At 38.0% G+C, this 24,839-nt stretch overlaps 1 protein-coding gene and 1 pseudogene across 8 annotated transcripts in view; one reads left to right on the top strand and one right to left on the bottom strand.

Moving 5' to 3' along the window:
• Nucleotides 1-24,839, bottom strand: part of RALGPS2 (Ral GEF with PH domain and SH3 binding motif 2) — a 196,597-nt gene that overhangs the window by 170,709 nt on the left and 1,049 nt on the right. Inside the window, exon 2 of one of the 8 annotated variants that reach the window (XM_047423755.1) lies at nucleotides 9,523-24,386. The exons of the other annotated variants lie outside the window; for them this stretch is intronic. The gene's annotated coding sequence lies outside the window, so the exon portion shown is untranslated. The remainder of the gene's footprint in view (nucleotides 1-9,522; nucleotides 24,387-24,839) is intronic. 8 annotated transcript variants of the gene reach the window in all.
• PTPN2P1 (PTPN2 pseudogene 1) lies at nucleotides 3,302-4,788 on the top strand (annotated as a pseudogene).

The following is a 24,839-nucleotide window of genomic DNA, read 5'->3' as shown; positions in this document are numbered from 1 at the left end:
GTGTGTCTGTGTGTGTGAACATGGAAGATAAATTACAAAGACTCTAGCCAGCTCAAGAAGCACTTACAACAGCATGGAAATAAATGTACTTTAATGTAAATCAAGATTTCCTAACTAAGAGACATGAATAAAACTTTAGGGCCATACATTGTCCAATTCCCCCCAAAGTATGAATACTGTGTACATGAACACACCCAAAAATAAACTCATTTTCCTGGATCCATAGCTATTAGTGATTTTCAAAGGGACTCAGGAATAAAAAGCAGTTAAGAACCACTGTTCTGGGTGACTGGGAGTCCCTGTATAATTATAGACAGAGAAATGTACCACAATACTTTTATTTTAGAAAGGTAGCTTAGGTAACATATGCGGACATTTGACGAATTTGAGAACCTTAAATGCAGAAGGAGCAATAAGAAGGTTATTATCCTACTGCAGCCAAGAAATTATAAATACGAACATCAAAAAACCTAATTCCAGAGACTTTTCAAAGTAAAAGTGCCTGAATTCATCAACCAGCTACATGCAGACTGTGAGAGAGAAAAAAGCTAAGGTTGCCTTATTCTACTTCTTAAAGTTCACGTCATTCACTTATTACATACCATCATCAGTAAAAGCCATTAAACACAGCACAGCAGCTGCAAGTGATAGGGTGCCACTTTGTTTTATTTGCAATGAGCCACCACTGGAAAATTAAGCACAAAATATCAAATATCCCAAAGAGGAGACACTGGTGGCCTAGAGCAAGGTTTGCCAAACTGGCCCACAAGCTAAATCCAGCCCCATTTTTGTAAATAAAATTTTAACAGAACACAGCCACTCATCCATTTATGTGTTGTCTATGGCTGCTTTCACACTCCAAAAGCAGAACTGAATAGCTGCAACAGAGACTTGCATGGCCTGCAAAGTGTAGATTTTAATTTACTTTTTGGGCCTTTAGAGAAGGTTTGCCAACCTCTCGCCTAGAACAAAAATGGATAGATTCTACTTCAGAAAGTACTGTTTTTTTGTTTGTTTTCTTGAGACAGAGTCTCACTCTGTCACCAAGGCTGGCGAACAGTGGCGTGATACTGGCTCACTGTAACCTCAACCTCCCAGGCTCCAGAGATCCTCCCACCTCAGCCCTCCAAGTAGCTGGGACAACAGGTGTGCGCCACCATGCCTGGCTAATTTGTGTGTGTGTGTGTTGTTGTTGTTTTTGTAGAGATGGGGTTTTGCCACACTGCCCAGGCTGGTCTTGAACTCCTGAGCTCAGGCAATCTGCTTGCCTCAGCCTTCCAAAGTGCTGGAATTACAAGCGTGAGCCACCACACCCAGCCAGAAAGCACTGCTTTAGTGCAACAGATGTGAGTAATATGCAAAGTAAGGCACTCTCTACCTCTGTGCATGGATCAAATCCAGCCATGTAGCCATCAGCCTTCTGGAGCAGCTGTAGATAACTCTGCAATAGCAGCAAGCTACTTCTAAGATCCTCATCAAATTGAATTTACAAAATCCCAAGTGTTACTCCGTTTAGAAAAATACTACTCCTCAAAAGCAACATATTAGGGGCCAACGTTTCAAACCAATCCAAATCATTGTCCTTCCCCTATTCTTCCATTCATATCTACCTTCTCTCTCCTCAAGGTTGTCTTTTAAAACGAAAAAGAAGAAAATGCTAAAGATCCAAGTGTTATTAGTAAACTGCTGAAAAACCAGGCTCACTGCAACCTCCGCCTCCTGGGTTCAAGTGATTCTCCTGCCTCAGCCTCCTGAGTAGCTGGGATTATAGGCACCCACTACCACGCCAGCTGATTTTTGTATTTTTAGTAAAGACAAGGATTCATCATGTTAGCCAGGCTGGTCTCACACTCTGGACCTCAGGTGATTCATCCACCTTGGCCTCCCAAAGTGCTAGGATTATAGGCGTGAGCCACCACACCCAGCCTGCATGAATTAAAAAAAAATTTTAAAAACAGCTTTATTTGGTCCAAAAACAAAAGACAAATTTTGGTCTATTAATTACGTGACAGACTAAATGGGTTGTTGGTGGTGTGTACCTGTAAGTGAGAGGACAGCTTGAGCCCAGGAGTTCAAGACTAGCCTAGGCAACACAGCAAGACTCCGTCCACCTCAATGTTTAAAAAACAAAACAAACAAACAAAAAAACCTTTATATATAGGTTACACACAATAAATTACACATGTTCAAAGTACATATATAGTATACACCTATGAAAAATCAAGATAGGGAACATACTTAGTCACCCCCAAAGTGCCTGCCTTCTTTTTTTTTTTTTTTTGAGACAGAGTCTCACTCTGTCACCCAGGTTGGAATGCAGTGGCGCAATCTCGGCTCACTGCAACCTCCGCCTCCTGTTCAAGCGATTCTGCTGCCTCAGCCTCCTGAGTAGCTGGGATTACAGGTGCCCGCCACCACAGCCAGCTAATTTTTATATTTTTAGTAGAGATGGGGTTTCACTATGTTGGCCAGGCTGGTCTCGAACTCCTGACCTCAGGTGATCCACCTGCCTCAGCCTCCCAAAGTGCTGGGATTACAGGCGTGAGCCACCGTGCCCAGCCAGTGCCTGCCTTCTTTTGCTCTGCATAATTATTTTGAGACCTCATCCCTGTTGTTGTGACTATCAATAAATAGTTCATTCCTTTATATTGCTAAATAGTATAGTCACATCACAATTTGTTTATCCATTTTTTCCAGTTTGTGACTATCATAAATAAAGCTGCTGTGAACATTAGTACACAAGTCCTTTCAGTAGATACCTAGGAGTGGAGCTGCTGGTAGGTGTACGTTAACTTCTTTTTTTTTTTTTTTTGAGACGGAGTCTCACTCTGTTGCCCAGGCTGGAGTGCAGTGGCACAATCTTGGCTCACCACAACCTCCACCTCCCAGGTTCAAGGGATCATCTTGCCTCAGCCTCCCGAGTGGCTGGGATTACAGGCATATGCCATGATGCCCAGCTAATTTTTGTATTTTTAGCAGAGACAGGGTTTCACCATGTTGGCCAGGCTGGTCTCAAACTCCTGACCTCAAGTGATCCACCCGCCTCGGCCTCCCAAAGTGCTGGGATTACAGAAGTGAGACGTTGTGCCCAGACTGTATGTTAGCATTTTAAGAAACAACCAAACTGTCTCCTAAAGTAGTTGTACTGTTTTACAGTCCTAAAAGCAAAGTATAGAGTTCTAGTCTTTCACATCTTTGCGAACACTTGGTATGGTCAGTCTTTTAGATAGGTAGTGCTAGTTCACTGATTTTAATTCCCATTTATTTAGTAACTATTAACATTATGATTAATGTAATATAGGCTCTCTGCGGATCGTGCAGGGCCTGAGCGTCTCCGCTGGCACAGGCTCTGCTCGCACCAGCTCGCTCCTGCTGCCATGCCCACCACCATCAAGTGGGAGTTCAAGGAGTTGGATGCTCAGCATCGCTGGCAGCTGCTGTACTTGATGATCACAGTTGTGTTAAACTGCAAAATGCTGAGAATGATTATATTAATGCCAGCTTAGTTGACATAGAAGAGGACAAAGGAGTTACATCTTAACACAGGGTCCACTTCCTAACACATGCTGCCATTTCTGGCTTATGGTTTGGCAGCAGAAGACCAAAGCAGTTGTCATGCTGAACCGCATTATGGAGAAAGAATTGGTTAAATGTGCACAGTACTGGCCAACAGATGACCAAGAGATGCTGTTTAAAGAAACAGGATTCAGTGTGAAGCTCTTGTCAGAAGATGTGAAGTCGTATTATACAGTACATCTACCACAATTAGAAAATATCAATAGTGGTGAAACCAGAACAATATCTCACTTTCATTATACTACTTGGCCAGATTTTGGAGTCCCTCAATCACCAGCTTCATTTCTCAATTTCTTGTTTAAAGTGAGAGAATCTGGCTCCTTGAACCCTGACCATGGACCTGTGGTGATCCACCGTAGTGCAGGCACTGGACGCTCCAGCACCTTCTCTCTGGTAGACACTTGTCTTGTTTTGATGGAAAAAGGAGATGATATTAACATTAAACAAGTGTTACTGAACATAAGAAAATTCCAAATGGGTCTTATCTCAGACCCCAGATCAACTGAGATTCTCATACATGGCTATAACAGAAGGAGCAAAATGTGTAAAGGGAGATTCTAGTATACAGAAACGATGGAAAGAACTTTCTAAGGAAGACTACCTCCTGCTTTTGATCATTCACCAAACAAAATAATGACTGAAAAATACAATAGGAACAGAATAGGTCTAGAAGAAGAAAAACTGACAGGTGACTGACGTACAGGACTTTCCTCTAAAATGCAAGATACAATGGAGGAGAACAATGAGAGTGTTCTACGGAAACGTATGTGAGAGGACAGAAAGGCCACCACAGCTCAGAAGGTGCAGCAGATGAAATAGAGGCTAAATGAGAATGAACGAAAAAGAAAAAGGCCAAGATTGACAGATACCTAATATTCATGACTTGAGAATATTCTGCAGCTATAAATTTGGAACCATTGATGTGCAAATCAAGACCTGAAGCCCACTCTGGAAACTTAAGTGAGGCTCGCTAACCCTCTAGATTGCCTCACAGTTGTTTGTTTACAAAGTAAACTTGACATCCAGGGAATGAAGAGCATCCACCAGCTAAGACCTTGCAGAACCTTTAACTGGATGTTAAGTGTTTATAATGCATGTATGAAATGTAGAAAGATGTACAAGAAATAAATTAGGAGAGATTACTTTGTATTGTACTGCCATTCCTACTGTATTTTTATACTTTTTGGCAGCATTAAATATTTTTGTTAAATAAAAAAATATATATAAGGACTAAACATCTTTTCATATACTTAGCGTATCTTCTGTGGTGAGGTATCTATCAAATATTTTGCAGATTTCAAAAAGTTGGATTGTTGGTGTTGAGAGTTCATTAGTATATATTCTATATACAAGACCTTAATCACATATTTGATTTGCAAGTATTTTCTGCCATCCTGCAGCCGGTCTTTTCATTCTCTTAAGAATTCTCTCTTCGGCTGGGTGTGGTGGCTCACACCTGTAATACCAGCACTTTGGGAGTCTGAGGTGGGTGGATCACCTGAGGTCAGGAGGTCGAGACCAGCCTGGCCAACATAGTGAAACCCCATCTCTACTAAAAATACAAAAATTAGCCAGGTATGGTGGCACATGCCTGTAGTCCCAGCTACTTGGGAGGCTGAGGCAGGAGAATTGCTTGAACCTGGGAGGTGAAAGTTGCAGTGAACCAAGATCACACCACTGCCTCCAGCCTGAGCGACAGAATGAATCTCAAAAAAAAAAAAAAAAAAAAAAAAGAAGAATTGAATTCTCTTTTGAATAGCACATTTTCAATTTGATAAAAAATCATTTTATCAATGTGCTATTTTAAGGATCATGCTTTTGGTGTTGTAACTAAAAATAATTTTGCTTGACTCAAGATAAAGATTTTGTCCTAATTTTGCCAAAAGTTTGTAATTTAAGTCTTGACCATTTAGGTCTTTGATTCATTTTGAGCTCATTTTCCCATACAGTGCAAGATACAGACTGAAGTTCATTTGTTTGCATTTGGATATCCATTTTGTGCCAGCATTATTTGTTGAATAGACTATCCTTTCTCTGCTGAACTGCCTTTGCACCTTGTCAAAATTCAGTTGTCCATTTATGTACTGGCTTACTTCTGGACTCTGTTCTATTCCATTGATCTATTTCATCATCCTTATACAAATACAACATTGTTTTGACTACTTCAGATTTATAATAAATTGTGATATCAGATAGCATTAGACCTCCAACTTTGTTCTTCTTTTTACAAAGCTGTTTTGGCTATTCTACGTCCTTTACATTTCCACACGAATTTTAGAATCAGCTTGCCAATTTCTATTCCCCCACCCCACCGCCAAAAAAGAAAGCCTGCTGGCATTTTGACTGGAATCACATTGATCAATTTAGGGATAATTGTCTTCTTAGCAACGAGTCTTCTCACCCATAAACAAAGAGTATCTATCTCCCCACCTATCTAAGTCTTCTTTACTTACTTTCTATGATGCTGTGTAATTAACAGTATTTCATATCTGATACTATTATCAATAGTACTGGTTTTATTACATTTCAATTTCCAACTGCTCATTGCTAAATAAATGCAATTGATATTTACAGACTGATTCTGTAATCCACAACTTTACTAAATTCACTTAGTCCCAGAAATTTTGCAAGTTCCATCAGATTTTCTACAGACAATCATGTCAACTACAAAGAAGATACTTTACTTCCTCCTTTCCAGTCTGGATGCCTTTTCCTTTCTTTTTTTTTTTTTTTTTTTTGAGATGGAGTCTCGCTCTGTCGCCCAGGCTGGAGTACAGTGGTGCGATCTCGGCTCACTGCACCCTCTGCCCTCCCAGTTTCAAGTGATCCTCCTGCCTCAGCCTCCTGAGTAGCTGGGATTACAGGCAGCTGCCACCATGCCGCGCTAATTTTTTTTGTATTATTAGTAGAGACGGGGTTTCACCATGTTGGCCAGGCTGGTCTCGAGCTCCTGACCTCAAGTGATCCACCCCTGCTCTCCAGCATCCCTAAGTGCTGGCATTACAGGCATGAGCCACCAAACCCAGCTTATTTCTTTTTCTTGACTGTATTGGCTGCAATGAACCTCCAGTACACTGTGAAACAGAAGTGGTGAGAGTAGCCATCTTTGTTTTGTTGCTGGTCTTAGAGAAAAAGCATTCAGTCTTTCACCATTAAATATGATACTACCTACAGTTTTTTCAGAGACATCCTTCACTGGGCTGAAGAATTTCCTTTCTAATCCTAGTTTTCTCAAAGTGACTACCCAGAATGAAGGTTAGATCATCAAATGCTTGCCTCCCCTGCCCCCAATTTTCTGAGATGATCATATAGTTTTTTTTACTTAATGTAGTGAATTACAACGATTGCTTTTTAAATGTTAAACCAACTTTGCATTCCTGAAATAAACCCCAGTTAATTATGATGTATTTTTTAATAAACTGTTACATTCAATTTACTAAAATATGGTTAGAACTTTTGTATGTATGCTCATGTGAGTTATTTCTGTGTAGTCTTCTTACCTCACAACGTCTGTCTAGTTTGAGTAAGAAGGTAATGCTGAGCTCACAAAATAAGTGAGGAAGTACTTCTTCCTCTACAATTTTCTGGAAGTGTTTGTATAGAACTGGTCTTAATTCTTCCTTAAACGTTTAACAGAATTTACTTGTGAAGTCATCTGGGTCTGAAGTTTATTTTGGGTTTTTTTTTGGTGTGGAAATATTGTAATCACAAATTCAATTTCTTTAACAGATACAGGGTTATTTCAGGTTGTATATTCTTCTTGAGTGAAGTTTGGTAGTATGTGTCTGTCAAAAAATTCGTCCAATTCATCTCTGTTTTAAAATGTATAGGCATAAAGTTATTCACAGTATTCCTGTTATCCTTTTATATCTGTAGGCTCTGTAATGATGTCACTTCTGTCTTTCCTGATCTCAATCAGCACAGTTAGAGCTTTATCAATTTTATCGATGTTGCCACAGAACTAATTTTTTTAACTTAAATTAGTTCCATGGCAACATCAATAAAATCAATTTTCATTGATTTTTGTCTAATTAGTAGAAAGTTTAAAAACAATTTCCACACTGATCTTTATCATTTCCTTTACTGTAATTGCTTTCATTTTACATCAAAATCATTTTCATTGATTCTAATGAGTAGAAAGTTAAAAATAATATCCACACTGATCTTTAGTATACCCTTTCCTGTAATTACTTTAATCTGCTCTTCCTCTAATGCCTGAAGGTAGAAATGGAAGTGAATGATTTGAGATCTTTCTTCTTTTCTTATGTAGGCATTCAGGGCTATAAATTCTTTCTGAGTTCTACTTCAATAGTATCCCACAAATTCTTTTTTCTTTATTTATTCTGTTAAGAGACAGGGTCTCACTCTGTTGCCCCAAGCTACAGTGGCATAATCATAGCTCACTGGCCTCAAATTTCTGGGCTCAAGTGATTCTCCTTTCCAGTAGCTAGGACTATAGGGATGTGTCACCATGTCTGGCTAATTTTTTTTAAAAAAATGTTTGTAAAGACAGGGTTTTGCTATGTTGCCCAAGCTGGCCTTGAACTCCTGGCCATAAGTGATCCTCCCACTTCAGACTCCCAAAGTGTTGGGATTACAGGCATGGGCCACCACAACCAGCCCCACAAATTCTGATTTGTTGTTTTCATTTTGATTCAGTTCAAAAGACTTTATAATTTCCCTTTTGATCTCTTCCTTGAACCATAAATTATTTAAAATTGTGTTGTTTAGTTTCCAAAGACCAGATTTTCCCCCATTTTGTTAATAGTTTCAAATTGAATTACACTGTGATCAGATAACATATTTTGAAGGATCTCAACCCTTTTAAATTATTGAGACTTTTTTGTGGACCAAAACATAGTCCATCATGAAAAATGTTCTGTAGACATTTGAGTAAACTGAGAATAATATGTTATTGTTGGGTGGAGATTCTGTAAATGTTAATTAAGTAAAATTGGTTGACAGTATTGTTCAAGTCTACTATATATCCCTATGATTTTCTGTCTGCTTGTTCTATCATTTACTGAGAGAAGAGTAAGTATCCAACACAAATTGTGGATATGACAATTTCTCCCTTGAATACTATCCGTTTTTGTTTCAAGTATTTTGAAATTCTGTTATTAGGGGCATAAATGTTTAGAACTATTACATCCTCTTGATTAACTGCCCTCTTTATCATTTTGTAATGACATCCTTTATCCCTGGAAATACTCTTTGCTTGGGTCTTGTCCAATATTAATATAGCCACATAATGCTCTTTTGACTATTGCGAGCATGGTGTATCTTTTTCCATCCTTTACTTTTAGCCTATTTGTGTCTTAATATTTAAAGTAGGTTTCTTGCAGGCAGGAGATGGTTAACTCTTGTTTTTTTAATCCAATCTCACCATTTCTGCTTCTTCTTCTTTTTTTTTTTTTTTTTTTGACGGAATCTTGCTCTGTTGCCAGGCTGGAGTGCAGCGGCACGATCTCAGCTCACTGCCACCTCTGCCTCCCAGGTTCAAGCAATTCTCCTGCCTCAGCCTCCTGAGTAGCTGGGACTACAGGCGTGCGTCACCATGCCCGGCTAATTTTTGTATTTTTGGTAGAGACAGGGTCTCAACATGTTGGCCAGGATGGTCTCGATCTCCTGACCTCATGATCCTCCCGCCTCGGCCTCCCAAAGTGCTGGGATTACAGGCGTGAGCCACCATGCCCAGCCCATTTCTGCTTCTTAAATGTGTTTAGGTCTTCTAGATTTTATGTGATTATTGATATGGTTAGGTTTAAGTCTATTATATTTTGCTATTTGCTTTACATTTGTCCCTTTTTTTTCTCTTTTTATGCTTTCTTCTGAATAAGTAAGTATAGTTTCTAATTCCATTTTATCTCCTTTGTTGGCTTCTTAGCTACAACTCATTGTTTCACAGGATTGTGTTAGGATTTATAGTATTTAACTTTAACTTACCATGGTCTTCCTTCAGGTGATATACCACTTCATGTACAGTACAGGAACTTTACCAAGAATCACATCTTGTTTCTAGACCTGAGGTATACTATGTCTTTGTCAAAATGGGAGAGAAGCAAGTACTAGAAAAACATAAAAGAAACAGTAACAACAAACTGAGACCTCCTCCTTAGCTTCATTTAAAAAGAAAGAATTGAAAAGGAATTAGATATTTAAAAATTAAAACTCTGTAACTGGACCACCTGGGTTTGAATTCTATTTCTGCCCGTTACATATTGTATAACCTTGGGCAAGTTGGTTAGCCTCTCTGTGCCTCAGTTTCTATATCTTTACAATGAAAGTAACAGAAACATCCAATGAGTTAATACAGGTAAAATGCTTAGAACACCAAGCATCTATTAAATGCTCAGTGTATTATTATTCACACTGTATAAGACAATATTTTCTAACTCCCTATACCTTATCTTGTTTACACAGCTCCCACACAAGGTTACTCTGCTCCAAGTGAATCAGTAAGGAGATTAACTATAGTTAGACTCTTAGTTGCAAAAAAATCAAATTACCTCAAATATCATTACATATATGATACTATTTATTGAACATCTGTTATACGCTTAGCATTGTTCTAAGCTTTCCATGTGTCATTCTCACTTAATCCTCACATCAACCCAGTGAGAAGTATTGTTATGATGCTCATTTTACAGATGAGAAATGAGACAGAGAGTTTAAGCGATTTGCCCAAGGTTGCAGGGGCTGGTAAAAAAGCCAGAATTCTAATGTCAAATGTCTGACACCAAAGCCTACAATCTTTCCTGGGGGTGGGGAGGAATGAATGCAGTCTCAAGAAGGGCAGGAGCCACAGAAGTACTAAAGGAAGAACAGTATCTACAGTGCCAGAAACTAGAATCTTCACTCTCATGTTCCATACCTCTCTCTCAAACCACATGGTTTCTCTCAGAATTTTGCACTTCTCTCAGCACACATGCCCTACTCTTTTATAGTTACCAAATGGCTTCCTCATCTCCTTTATCATTTCTGTAATTCATAGCTTCTGCTTACATCTACTTTCCATTCCCTTAAACTTTAGTTTTACAGGACTCTACACCAACACATCTTTGCAGCTTCAGCTCCCATGGTTCAATGGTAAATTAACTCCATGTTTTCTATAACTGACTATATAAATTTTCCCAGGTGGTTGATGGATTAGCAACCCTTAGGTCAAATGCCCACTGCTGGACCAATCCACTGCAATACAGTTTTATATGGTTAAAAAAATAGCTATTGAGGTCTGTTCTTCTGCAATGTACTGTAGAAAAAGCAGATTTCCTCCAAAGGAACTGTGGGCAAGCCAGAATTATAAATGACATATCTAGGATACTGACTCAGATAAATCACTACTACTCTGGGACTCAAAAGTCTTGCCAGGATTTCTAATCTACTTAGTTATAGTAGTTAAGTAGTTATAAATACAAAATTTGGTTGTTACTAAGGGGATCATATAATTTACAGCATCACACAAGACATGAAATACAGGTCCAGTGATTATTAAGTCAAAGGTTGCCATACTCCATTCAAGAGTACCACAACTGAGGAGGAAAACCCACTATTATCTATTATTTCAAATACCGCTCAGAGTTAGAAGTAGTATCAATGACCCTATTCATCCTTATAGCTATATCTGTTAGGCCATATTGGAATGAAGCAGATGAGGTGGCTAGGTTTGTTGACTTCATTCCTACAGCCAGTTCAGCTGTCCAAACTGTTTAGATAAACAAGTGCAGCACAGATGGCTTCAATTAGTACTGCCTGTTCCCTTAAGTCCAAACCTTCAAAGTGGTTATCTTTAAAAACCTTTTGGCAATGAGTTCTATCTGTCACCTTTTGGATCTCTTGAAGAAAGGAAACAGAGTGACACGCTAAGTTAGTGAATAACAATATGTACTATCATTTCAATTCTAATTTCCCCTGCTTCATTTCTAAGGGCTGAATATTTAGTCCCACCTCATCAAAGGTACTGTATTTCCCGCCACATCCCAAACAAACCCTTCAATCCAAATCGTGCCAACAACACCTAGTTCTGGTTGCCACATCTTGAGTCATGCTGTTTCAACAATCAGTATGTTCTTTCCACATAAATGAAACACATTCCTTAAGGACCACTCCTGTCCTCACTGAGCCTCTTCTTCTGTGACCTGCTAATGCTCTTCAATCTGACACAAAACAACATATTGTTTTATGTTATTTACTGTGGTTTCACATATAAGACTGTCTCTGACCAAGAAGACATGAACAACAATACTTTTATGATAACACTCTCAAGTACTGTGCTTACAAGAAAACATTTAAAAATGCCAGTGGCCAAAATAAGCAAGTCAGAAGCAGAGTTTCTTATCCATAAGATATCCTCAAAATGTTGCTCTTTAAGTAGACTTATTCCTGTCCCTCTAGCTTTAAGAGATAGGATCTAAACTACAAAAACATACAAAAATATATCAGCATATCAAAATTGCAAAAAAAAGAAAAAACTTACTAATCACCCACCTACAAACCCCTAAACTATCTATAAAGATTTCAGCACATACACAAAAGTGTAGCTTAAGAAAAGCAACAGAAAACATACAGATTTGTCATGTAAGCTAATTCCAGAAGGCAAAAAAATGTTCTAGACAAATCCTGGAAATCTAAATCAGGACTGGAAGAGGTATAACGAATAATTTACTCCAGTAACCCTAGAGATCTAGAATAACCACAGATGCAACAGAATCTGGGCTATAATTACACTTGATCTTCAAAATTCTGAAAGAAAGAGTAAAAGAAATCCTTACAATGATCCTATGAGAAGGCACTATTATACCCAATTACAAATAAAAAAGCTGAATGTTAAACAAATTAAGTAACTTGCCCAGATTCATACAGACTTTCATCAAAGAATTATAACCATTGTCTATCCTTAAAAAATTTATTTAATTTTAGCTTAGTAAATTATATGGCTGATCCCAAAAACATGTAGATACTTATTAGAAATTTAAGGAAACATAAAATTGAAATTTAGTTTTGACATTCACATTCCTTTCAATGCAAATTTAAGATATACAACTATTAGCCGACGGCAGTGGCTCACACCTGTAATCCTAGCACTTTGGGAGGCCAAGGCGGGTGGACTGCCTAAGCTCAGGAGTTCGAGACCAGCCTGGGCAACATGGTGAAACTCTGTCTCTACTAAAACACAAAAAATCAGCCAGGCATGGTGGCATGTGCCTGTAATCCCAGCTATTTGGGAGGCTGAGACAGGAGAGTACCTTGAACCTGGGAGGTGGATGTTGCAGTGAGCTAAGATCGTGCCACTGCACTCCAGCCTGGGCGACAGAGTGAGACTCTAACTCAAAAAAAAAAAAAAAAAAAAAAAGATATCCATCTATTAGAAAATAAAACTGATAATTTTTGACTAGACCTAACCAAAATCTATAGCCATATTGTGTTCCTAGCCAGCACATTTGAGCATATCACTACTTGTTCAAAAATCATTATTGTGGTCAAGCGTGGTGGCTCATGCTGTAATCCCAGCACTTTGGGAGTCTGAGGCAAGAGGATTACTTGAGCCCAGGAGTTTGAAACAAGCCTAGGCAACAAAGTAGAGACTATGTCTCTACAAAAAAACAAAAAAATTAGCCAGGGGTGGTGGTGTGCACCCGTAGTCCCACCTACTTGGGAGGCTGAGGCAGGAGGATCACTTAAGTCTGGGAGGTCAAGGCTGCAGTGAGCTGTGATCATGCCATTGGAATCCAGTCTGGGTGAGAGAGTGAGACCCTATCTCAAAAGGAAAAAAAATCATTAATGTCATTTAACTTTTTGACAATTGTTTAACCATTTGGGTAAAAAGACAAAAATTAGATCTTACATTAAAATAAGATGAATTAAAAATGAAAAATATTTAAGCCATAAAAATACTAGAAGTAAACATAGGTGAATTTTAAAATATATTCTGACATAGGAAAGGCTATCTAGGACTCACAGTAGAAACAGAAACAAAAGAAGAGATTGATCATCTGATTAAAGGTGGCGCTGGCCAGGTGCGGTGGCTCATGCCTGTAATCCCAGCACTTTGGGAAGCCGAGGCAGGTGGATCACGAGGTCAGGAGTTCAAGACCAGCCTGGCCAAGATGGTGAAACCCCGTCTCTACTAAAAATACAAAAAAATTAGCCAGGCGTGGTGGCAGGCGCCTGTAATCCCAGCTACTCGCGAGGCTGAGGCAGAGAATTGCTTGAACCTGGGAGGCAGAGGTTGCAGTGAGCCAAGATCATGCCACCGGCACTTCAGCCTGGGCGACAGAGCAAGACTTCATCTCAAAAAGAAAAAAGGCGCAAGACAGTGAAATACATGTATTTCATCAATTCTTAGATGTGCATTTTCTTACCTTTTAAAATCTCTGAAATTAAGATGCCTCTTAAATTCGAATGCCATATTCTTATTTTTAGATGTACATAAATAGTGCATCTTGCAACTGAAGCCATTTTAGATTCAATGAAATACAGTAAGTTGGGTAACAAAAGATAAAACAAGGAAAAGTAAAACAAGAGACAAAGAGTTAATATTTTTAATACATAAAGACTTCTTACACATTAATGTGAACTAGTAGGGTGCTTCAACTGCATTGGTTAATTTCTTAAGTTAGGGATTAACTGTATTAGTCTTCATATGCTTTTTGTTTTTTAAGACAGGGGTGTCCTTCTGTTGCCCAGGCTGGAGTGCAGTGGCTCGATCATGGCCACTGCAGCCTTGACCTCCCGGACTCCAATTCTCCAGCCTCAGCCTCCTGAGTAGCTGGGACTACAGGCACACACCACCATACCTGGCTAATTTTTTGCATTTTTTTGTAGAGACAGGGTTTCACCACATTGCCCAGGCTGGGTCTTAAACTCCTGGGCTCAAGCAATCCGCCCACCTTGGCCTCCCAAAGTGCTGAGATTACAGGTGTGAGCCACCGCACCTGACTCTATACACTTTTTTGTATAACTATTTCATTAAAAGACTTAAAAGATTGAGCAAAAAGAATGGGTAGGATGTGAAGAGAAAATTGGAGAAAGTAGTATAATATCACACATATGAAAACAGTACTTTCATTGAAAACGTTTAAAATGCAAATTAAGGCTGGGTGTAGTGGCTCACATCTTTAATCCCAGCACTTTTGGGAGGCCGAGGTGGCTGGATCACTTGAGGTCAGGAGTTCAAGACCAGCCTGGCCAACATGGTGAAGCTCTGACTCTACTGAAAATACAAGAATTAGCCAGGCATGGTGGTAGGCACCTGTAATCTCAGCTACTTGAGAAGCTGAGGCAGGAGAATCTTGAACCCAGGAGGCGGAGGCTGCAGTGAGCCGAGATCACCACTGCACTCCAGGCTGGGCGACACAGTGAGACTCTGTCTCAGAAAAAAAAAAAAAAAACAACCCACAAATTAAAACACAGAGCACTTATTACATAACACATCAACATATATACGTTTTTAAAGCTAACTGCCAAGTGATTAAGGGCATAGAGAAACAAACATGTACACCATAAGCGAGTATGCAAACATACTTAACCTCCAAATAACTCCCTTTTTAGGAATTCATCAAAAGGAAATTATGTAAGTACAGGAAGAGCTATAAAAAAAGATGTTAACTCTATCACTGTTATACTATCTAAAAGAAACAACCTAAATGCTCAAGAGTTTAAATAATGATACATTCACACAATACAATGCTACCATTAAAAATGATAGTAGAAACTATCTTTGAATGCAATACAATTATCCCCAGAAATATACAAATACTTTTAAATAAGTACAATAATTTTTTTGCTTATTTTTATTTTTTATGGTTTCATTTTTTACTTTTGAGATACATGTACAAATATAATGTACATATATCTAAGGTATTCTGTGTGATGAATTTTACAATGTAGACACCCATGTAACCACCAATCAAATATGGTGAAATCCCATCACTAAAAAAAAAAAAAAAAAAAAAGAATACAAAAATTAGCTGGGCATGGTGGCACGTGCCTGTAATCCCAGCTACTTGGGAGGCTGAGGCAGGAGAACTGCTTGAAGCAGGACCTGGGAGGCAGAGGTTGCAGTGAGCTGAGATCACGCCACTGCACTCCAGCCTGGGCTACAGCATCAAAAAAAAAAAAAAAAGAAAAGAAAAAGAAAATATAGACATTTCTAGCACTCTAGAAGGTCCCTCTTTGTTGTTCCTCTTACCTTTCCAGCCCCAACTCCTAAACACCATGCTCATGCTTCTATCACCATACATGAGTTTGACCTTGCCCTAAACTTTATGTAAATGAAGTCATGGAGTATGACTTCATGGAGTACGTACTCTTTTGTGTCTGGTTTCTTTTGCTCACCATTTTATCTGTGATAGTCACCCATGTTTGCTGAGTATAGCTATAGTTCATTCTTTTCCAGTACTGTACAGTGTTATACTATAAGGCTATACCACAAATTATTTATCCCCTTTTTTTGTTGTTGTTGACAGACATTTGGGTTGTTTCCAGCTGGAAGTGATCACGAAGCTGCTATGGACATGCCCTGTTTGCTATGGTTTTGGCGGTTTCATAACTTATTTTTATTTTATTGCCTCTTAATATCATTTTAACTACTTCTATTATAAAATAAAAAAGATCAAACAACCAGAAAATAATAAAGAAAAAAAGATCTGCTATCCCACCACACAAACTACTCAACATTTTTAACATTTATAGTTCACATAACTGAGATCTTGCTATACATGCTATCCTTTTTCTAAATCAACACCTTTAGTTATTTTTTCCCTTTTTTCTCTCCCTCTCCCTATTTTAGACCAACAAGAAAACAAACATTTACATTTAGTGTGCAACATTTTCCACCTTACAGAATCATCGAAACACATACAGACATAAAGGTTTCGGAGTTGTTTGCTTCATACAAATACTTGGTATATCCCTCTGCATCTTGCTCTTCTCAAATATTATGGCAACACTGTCACATCACTGATTATTTTTCCTATCTTTAACAGCTTTACTGAGATATAATTCACATACCATACAATTCACCCATTTAAAATGTACAAGTCAATGGTTTATAGCATATTCACAGAGGTACAACCATCAACACGGTCAATTTTAGAACATTTTCATCATCTCAGAAAGAAATCCATACCCTTTAGCTACCACCCCCTTACCCCTGCTACTGGCCTAAGCCACTTATCTGTTTTCTACCTCTATCTGCTGTTCTAGGAGAGGAACTGCTGGGTCGTATGGTAATGCTACGTTAAATTATTTGAAGAAGTGCCACATGGTCTTCCAAAGAAGCCACATCCATTTACATTCCCACAAGTGTATGAGGATCCCAATTTCTTAACATCCTTGCCTACACTTATTATCTAACTTTTTCATTCAAGTCATCCTAGTGGTGTGAAGCGGTATCTCACTGCGGTTTTGATTTCATTTTCCTGATAGCTAATAATGTCGAGCATGTTTTCATGTGCTTATTGGCCACTTGTTTATCTTTGAGAAATTTCTATTCAGCTCCTTTGCCTGTTTTTAAATTGAGTTGTCTTTTTATTATTGAGTTATAGGAGTGTTTATACATTCTGACTACAAGTTTCTTGTTAGATATGACTTGCAAATATTTTCTCCAATTCTGTGTATTGTCTTTTCACATTCTTGATGGCATCCTTTGAAGCACAAAAAATTTAATTTTTAAGTTCAATTTACCTCTTGCTTGTTTTGTTGCTCCTGCTTTTGGTGTCACTTTGTGTCATACGTAAGAATCCTTTACCTATTCCAAGGTCATAAAGATTTACCCCTATGTTTTCTTCTAATGTACATGTCCTCTGATGCACACATATACTGATTTCTATCAGGTCTATCCCCAGACATGAAACTGGTGGATCACAGAGCATATACAGATACAGTTTTAGGCAAATGCTGCCAAAGAATTTTCCAAAGTGGCTGTACCAATTTTCAAACCCACTTGAAATGTATAAGGGTTCCAAATGCTCTACATTCTTGCCAACACTTTGTATTTCAGATTTTTTAACTAACACCATTCTGGTGGGTATGCAGTGGCATCACATTGTAGTTTTAATTTGCGGTTTTCTAAAAATTATGTATCAGTACTTTTTAACCTTGGCCATCTGAACAATTCATTTTCTGAATACCTGTTCTAGTCTTTTGTCCATTTGTTTTAAAACTGGGTTGCCTGATTCTTTTGCATTGGTTTGCATACTTTTAAATATACTCTATATATAAGTCCTCTGACAGATATAAGTATTGCAAACACCTTTTCCAGTGTGTTACTTGCCTTTTCCTTCTCTTAATAGTATTGTTTAATGAGTAGATGTTCTTATTTAATGAAATACAGTCTTTTCTTTTCTGGTTAGTACTTTTTGCATCCTGGTTTAAAAAGCCTTTGCCTCCAACAGGGTCATACAGATATTTTTCCATGTTTTGTTTTAGAAACTTTCATATTAAATCTATAGTTCCTTCAAGGAACAAAGAATCCCTACGTTACAGAATTATTTCTGATAATGGGGGAAAAAAAAGAAAGCTTTACAACTGATTTCATGAAGTCAGCGAAACTTTGAATTCAAAATATACCCATGTAAACCTCACTGATAAATGTAGATCTTAAAGAACTCTAAGACACCAGCAAGTCAAATTCAGCCGTGTGGGTGAAAAAATGCACCACAGCTAAATAGGGTTTAACTCAGGAATGCAAAGATGGTTCAACAGGAGATAATCTATTAATGTAATACATCCTATTAACAGATTAATGGAAAAGATGATCTCTACCTGCAAAGAAAAAGCACTTGATGAATTCAACATTTTATGTTTAAAAAAAAAAAAAAACTTAGAAAACTAGTATGACAAAGCATTTCTTAATCATATCTACCAAAAGTCTTAAGTTATTTATCAAAACCAATAGTAAGGCATTATAATTAATGATGAAATATTAAAGGTACTCCTATTAAAATCAGGAACATGGCCGAGTGTGGTGGCTCACGCCTGTAATCCCAGCACTTTGGGAGGCCAAGATGGGCAGATCACGAGGTCAGGAGATCTGAGACCATCCTGGCTAACATGGTGAAACCCTGTCTCTACTAAAAAAACAAAAAATTAGCCGGATGTGGTGGCACGCAACTGTAGTCCCAGCTACTTGGGAGGCTGAGGCAGGAGAACCACCTGAACCCAGGAGATGGAAGTTGCAGTGAGCCGAGATCGCGCCACTGCACTCCAGCCTAGGCGACAGAGTGAGACTCTGTCTCAAATAAATAAATAAATAAATAAAATAAATCAGGAACATAAAATTCAGAACCATGTATCTCAAGTGAGCCCTTACTGCTGCCTGGCAATCATACTCTCCCTCTTCTATTCACTTTTTTACTCTTTGACAAGTGACTATGTCATGTATTATTCCTTCTCAAACCTCTAATACATATTCCCATTCTTCCTTACTCTCAGATGATGAGCTTGGCCTCTATACACAAAGGTAAATTGAAACACTCATGAGAACGTTCTCAAGCTACCACCATCATGTGTCTATCCATATACTTTGTCTTCTCTCCTATTTCTATAGTAACTCTCCCTACTCCTGGTGAAGCAAAGGCTAATCCTTCTGCTTGTATAAGATCAGGTGTCAGCAAACCACAGTCCCACACTGCTTATGCTTGATTTCACTAGACAACAGCAAAGCTGAGTAGCAGTAATGGATTGTATTGCCCAAAATGCCTAAAATACTACCTAACCTTCAAAGAAAAAGTCTGCTGACCTCTAAACTAGATCATATCTCCTCTCCATATAATCATGGACACTGCTGGTTGAAAGCGCCCACTAAATTCAGTGTAGAAGAAATAAAGTAAAGTCAATACAAGATACATAAAATATCAGGGACATAGCAGATATACTGAAGACAAAAGATCGTAGGGCCAGGTCACATATGAAGGATGAAGATTTTGAATGGCATAAGACTTTTCAACAACCACTTCAAACTAGAAAATCAGGCCAGGCACAGTGGCTCACACCTGTAATCCCAGCACTCTGAGAGGCCGAGGTAGGCGGATCACTTGAGGTCAGGAGTTTGAGACTGGTCTGGCCAACATGGTGAAACACCATCTCTACCAAAAATACAAAAATTAGCTGGGTGTGGTGGCGCATGCTTGTAATCCCAGCTACTTAGGAGGCTGAGGCAGGAGGATCACTTGAACCCAGGAGGTGGAGGGTGCACTGAGCCAAGATCATATCACTGCTCTCCAGCCTGGGGGACAGAGGAGACTCTGTCTCAAAAAAAAAAAAAAAAAAAAAAAAAAAAACCAAAACAACTAGAAAAGTATAATCATCTGCTAAATTTGAAGATGATTTTTACCTTGGAATTCTATACCTATCCCTGCCATATTATCAACCAGGTGTCAAGGTAGAAGGAAAATATTTTCAGCAATACACACATCTCACAAATTTTACCTCTTCATATACTCTTTCTTGAAAGTTACCAAAGGATGCATTTCACCAAAACAAAGGAGTAAATCAAGAAAGCGGAGGATATGGATCCAGAGATCACAGGAAAATGGCAAAAAGAATTCTCAGAATCAGCCAGGCGCAGTGGCTCACGCCTATAATCCCAGCACTCTGGGAGCCTGAGGTGGGCGAATCACTTGAGGTTGGGTCGAGACCAGCCTGACCAACATGGAGAAACCCCGTCTCTCCTAAAAATACAAAATTAGCTGGGTGTGGTGGCACATGCCTGTAATCCCAGCTACTTGGGAGGCTGAGGCAGGAGAATCGCTTAAACCCGGGAAGCAGAGGTTGTGGTGAGCCGAGATCACGCCATTGCACTCCAGCCTGGGCAACAAGAGCAAAACTCTTGTCTCAAAAAAAAAAACAAAAAAAAAAACAGAATTCTCAGAATCATGATGAAGGGAAGTCACAATTATAGCTACACAGCATAAGTGGAAGGCAAAAGTGCAGATTTGAGCAAGAAGATAGTTCAAGAAGAATTTTCATTTTTTTTTTTTAAAACTGAAGGGTCAATTACCTGATGTTTGATGATATTGGGACAGTTTGTAGAAAAAAAAATTAGAGACAAATAGGAAACTAAGAAATAAAAAGAAATCAACTCCAAGAAATATAATCATAGTACACTGTAAGGTTCCACTGTAAACATATTTACAAACTCATAATAATGTAAACAACGAATGCTGATTTAATCAAAAGCATGACTATATTGGGAAGACATGGGAAAGAAATTTCAAGGTGGCATAAGAATCCTAAAGCATAGACTCATCTACCACAGAAGAAAGCCAACAGACAACAGCTAAAATTGAAAAACAGGAAAACTGAAAAACAGGGCCAGGCATGGTGGCTCACACCTGTAATCTCAGCACTTAGGGAGGCCAGGGAGAACGGGTGGATCACTTGAGGTCAGGAGTTCACAGCCTGGCCAACATGGTGAAAACCCGTCTCTACTACAAATACAAAAATTAGTCAGGCATGGTGGCACATGCCTGTAACCCCAGCTACCTGGGAAGCTGAGGCAGGAGAATCAGTTGAACCCAAGAGGTGGAGGCTGCAATGAGCCAAGATCGCACCACTGCACTTCAGCCTGGGCGATAGAGCAATACTCTGTCTCAAAAAATAAATAAATAAATAATAAAACTGAAAAACAAACAGTAAAAGTATATAATTTTTAAATATGTAAATAAATAGAAGAAACACCTATGGTTGCTCTGAAAGCAGGACACAGGAGGGAAAGTCATAAAGACATGAGGCAGAGGACCGGAGTTTTAATTACAGGTTATCTGAGTACCTGGCTTGGGGCCAGAAAAATTCAGATTTCAAATTTTGTTGAATTTCAGATTTTGTCAGATTTTGGAAGACTTGCATTGCCAGTTGGGCATCCCAAATCCAAATATTTAAAACTCAAACTGCTCCAATGAACATTTTCTTTGAGAGTCATGCTGGCACTCAAAAAGTTTAATATTTTGGAGCATTTTGGATTTCAGATTTTCAGATTTGGGATGCTCAACCTGTATAACCCTTGTAGTACAATTTTCTTTTTAACTGCACAGCTGTATAAATCAAATATTAATCTTTTTTTAAAAAAGGAACAAAACCAGGGGTCCTTTGATCACTTAATAACAATACCCCACAAATATCTGAGCATCACTACGTGTCAGATACTTTTCTAGGTGCTAGGAAGAGAACAGTGTACAAAATAAGCCCTTGTCCTCATGAAGCTTACAATCAGAGAGGGAGGCAGATAATAAACTAATGTACGTTTTAATGTCAGATAAACCAATGATGTAAAAATAAATAAATAAAGCAAGGCAAAGGCACAGAGTATGATGGGGGATGCTATTTAATAAGGTTTTCAGAAAACACTTCTGCAAGAACAACAAAAGGAAATCAAACTAAAGAAAATCTGTTCTGAAAAAAAAGGTCATGTAAGTGAAATAACAGAAAACTATCAATTAAATTCAAGATGAGAGATTCAAGTCTTTCACACTCCAAAGCAATGTATTATTCAAAAGCCAGTACCAAAAGTTTCTCTGTAATGAAATAAACGGCCAAGCTTCCTCAAGCTAAGTCATATGAACACTGCTATATCCATATAACTGTATGTATATATAGATCCTTCCCATATCCCTAACTAGCTACTTAGTAAAGTGACTATGTAAATTTATATTCAAACTTTTTTCTTTCCATAGAATAGGTAAATGTAACACATTTTAAATTCCAGTGTTTTATTTCTATTATGTAGTTAAAAGTTTTCCTAAATCAAAAGCTCAAGACATTAAACCAAAAAAGATTCCAGATTAATTCCACGTTACTAAAATTTATCACAATCTTTATTCTCTCACTAAAAAGGATTCAATAGGAAATTTAAGACACATTTAAAGAAACAATTTACAGGGTAATGCAATACATTCATTTTCCTCTCCAAGGAACTTCACTCAGGCTGGGGTAGTTTCAAGCTATTTGAATTATCTTTCATTGAAAATTAACTTAAAAAAAAGTATTCATATTAAAGTGACAATTTTATTCCAAATACAGTCGTTACACAATAAATATCTCATATTCAAAAAATGGATACACTTCAATATCTTATTCTCAAACTGTGTATCATTAAAATTAAAAGTAAACCCAAACTATGTGCCTATTTTACATAGCAAAAAAAAAAAAAAAAGCATACTTTCGGAGAAAATGGGTTTAAAGTTTAACTCACAAAAGAAAACAAATTTGATTCAATAAATTTCAATTAATAGTTTGGTTTATGGTTTAAAAGTTATTTAAAAATTTCTGAAAAAGCAGATTATCAAGGAATTGGTTCACTCACAGTCAGCCAGAAATAAAAAGGTGATATTTTAAAATTTTAGACCAAAAAAGAAATTTAGATTCCCTTATAAATAAATGCCGAGAGAATATTTTCAGCAAACATTCATTTAACTACATAAACCAAAAGAATAAGGCTGTCTAACCACATGTAAACTACGCATCATCTGACTTCAGGTAGAATGTTTATCTTTGGTATACTTGGTAACCAGAAACCCAAAGTATATAAACATAGGCATATTCTAAAAACAATTGTCTTAATGTTTTTGTTCGCTAGGCAATAATTCCCACAATTCTCAGAAAGAAAAAAACAATATCCTTAACCAAAAAGTTATCAGAGGAGTTTCTACTTCTTAAACTTTTAAACAAACATATTTGCCCACTTATCATTTAAGCCCCATCAGGGCTTAAATGATAAGCCCTGTTGTGTCTCCCCTGTTGTGTCCCCAACCTCTAGGGAACTAACTGGCACCAAGTAGGTACCCAATACACATGTGCAGAATGAACTGAGTCTCTGGAAAAAGCTTAAGTGTTTTAAGTTGCAACAGGACAATTTCACCTATATATCCATCATTCACTACACTGAACTCTAATGACGTAATAAAAAGACTCGTACCAGGTATTTAAAAACACACACAAAAATATATTACTCACATATGTATCTGACTCACAAAGCCAGTTTTTCAGTTATGTTTTCTCTCAGGAAAATTTGTTGTATTCTTTCTAGTATTACTAATAAATATTAGAAAAGCACGTTGTGTTCTGCCAATGCAAGCATTATCTTCAAACTTACGTTGCAATCTGAAAAAATTTAGGCAAACTAAACAGTATTTCCAGAGTCCTGCCCCAAAGTATTACTAAAAGTCAAATTCCTTAATTCAATGAAAAGTGAAATAACGCACAGTGGCGCATGCCTGTAGTCCCAGCTTCTTGGGAGCCTGACACGGGAGGATCGCTTGAGCTCAGGAGTCTGAGACCAGCCTGAGCCAAATAAGGAGAACCTATCTTAAAAGGAAAAAAAAAAAAGTGGAATATAATGGGAAAAACGCACATCTTACCGTTCAAAAATTATGCTGAATTTTAAAAAGAAAAAATGAACTACGCTTAAAATAAATACACTGAAATTGTTTATCCCAAATGGCATTAATGCCCTTACATTTTGATATTTAGATCTGCCTCAAAAGACCTTTGAAGCTACATGATAAACTTCATGCCTACAAAGCTTGAGTTAGAGGTTATCTTTGTTAAAATAATACTGTTTGGATGCTCAGTTTTGGAAGTTTCCTCATAATTCTAAATTAAGATATTTAGCCGTAAGAGTAATACACTTATGTGTATGATTCTATAGCACTTGTTCTATAGCACTTGTACAAGCATAATGATCTTGAGTGGAACAGGCTTTATAATGAGCAAGCTATGATCTGTCTAACAGCGATACTCTGCAAACACGGGCTGAAAAGTTTCCTAAAATTCTGATGGTCATCTTCAAAGAAACTTGAACAGGAATCGATCTAATGGTGGACACAGAAAAATACCCAAGTCAACTCATGAACACTGGTAAGAAAAGGCTCTCTATAGCAACTAAAGTGTTGGGGAAAAAAAATCCAGGGAGCATAAACGATAAAGCTCAATTAACTGCTGCTTGTGTGATTCCACTTTATGGTCTTAAATACACAGTAGGCATTAGATATTTCTTTTGGGGTTTTTTTTTTTTAACAGAAATTTAGTATTTCAATTGCCCCTCCTCCACAGCTAACATCAGTGCCCTTTCTTCCTCCTCCCTTACCCCTCCCAACTCAAACAAATTAACATTTGTACTAGGTACCTCCTATCAGCTCGCAGCTTCTTCCCAAACACGCCCACGTACACTGAAACTGGCTTGCGTCTACACAACACACAGCTACAGGAAAAGAGCTTCGAGGGGGGAGCTGGGGCGGGGGGTTAATAATTCGCTCCGCACAGGT

This window comes from Homo sapiens, chromosome 1 (genome assembly GCF_000001405.40).
Source record: "Homo sapiens chromosome 1, GRCh38.p14 Primary Assembly".
Taxonomy (NCBI): Eukaryota; Metazoa; Chordata; class Mammalia; order Primates; family Hominidae; genus Homo; species Homo sapiens.
The sequence above is the reverse complement of the archived record's forward strand: the minus strand, read 5'-3'. Positions and strand labels throughout refer to the sequence as shown.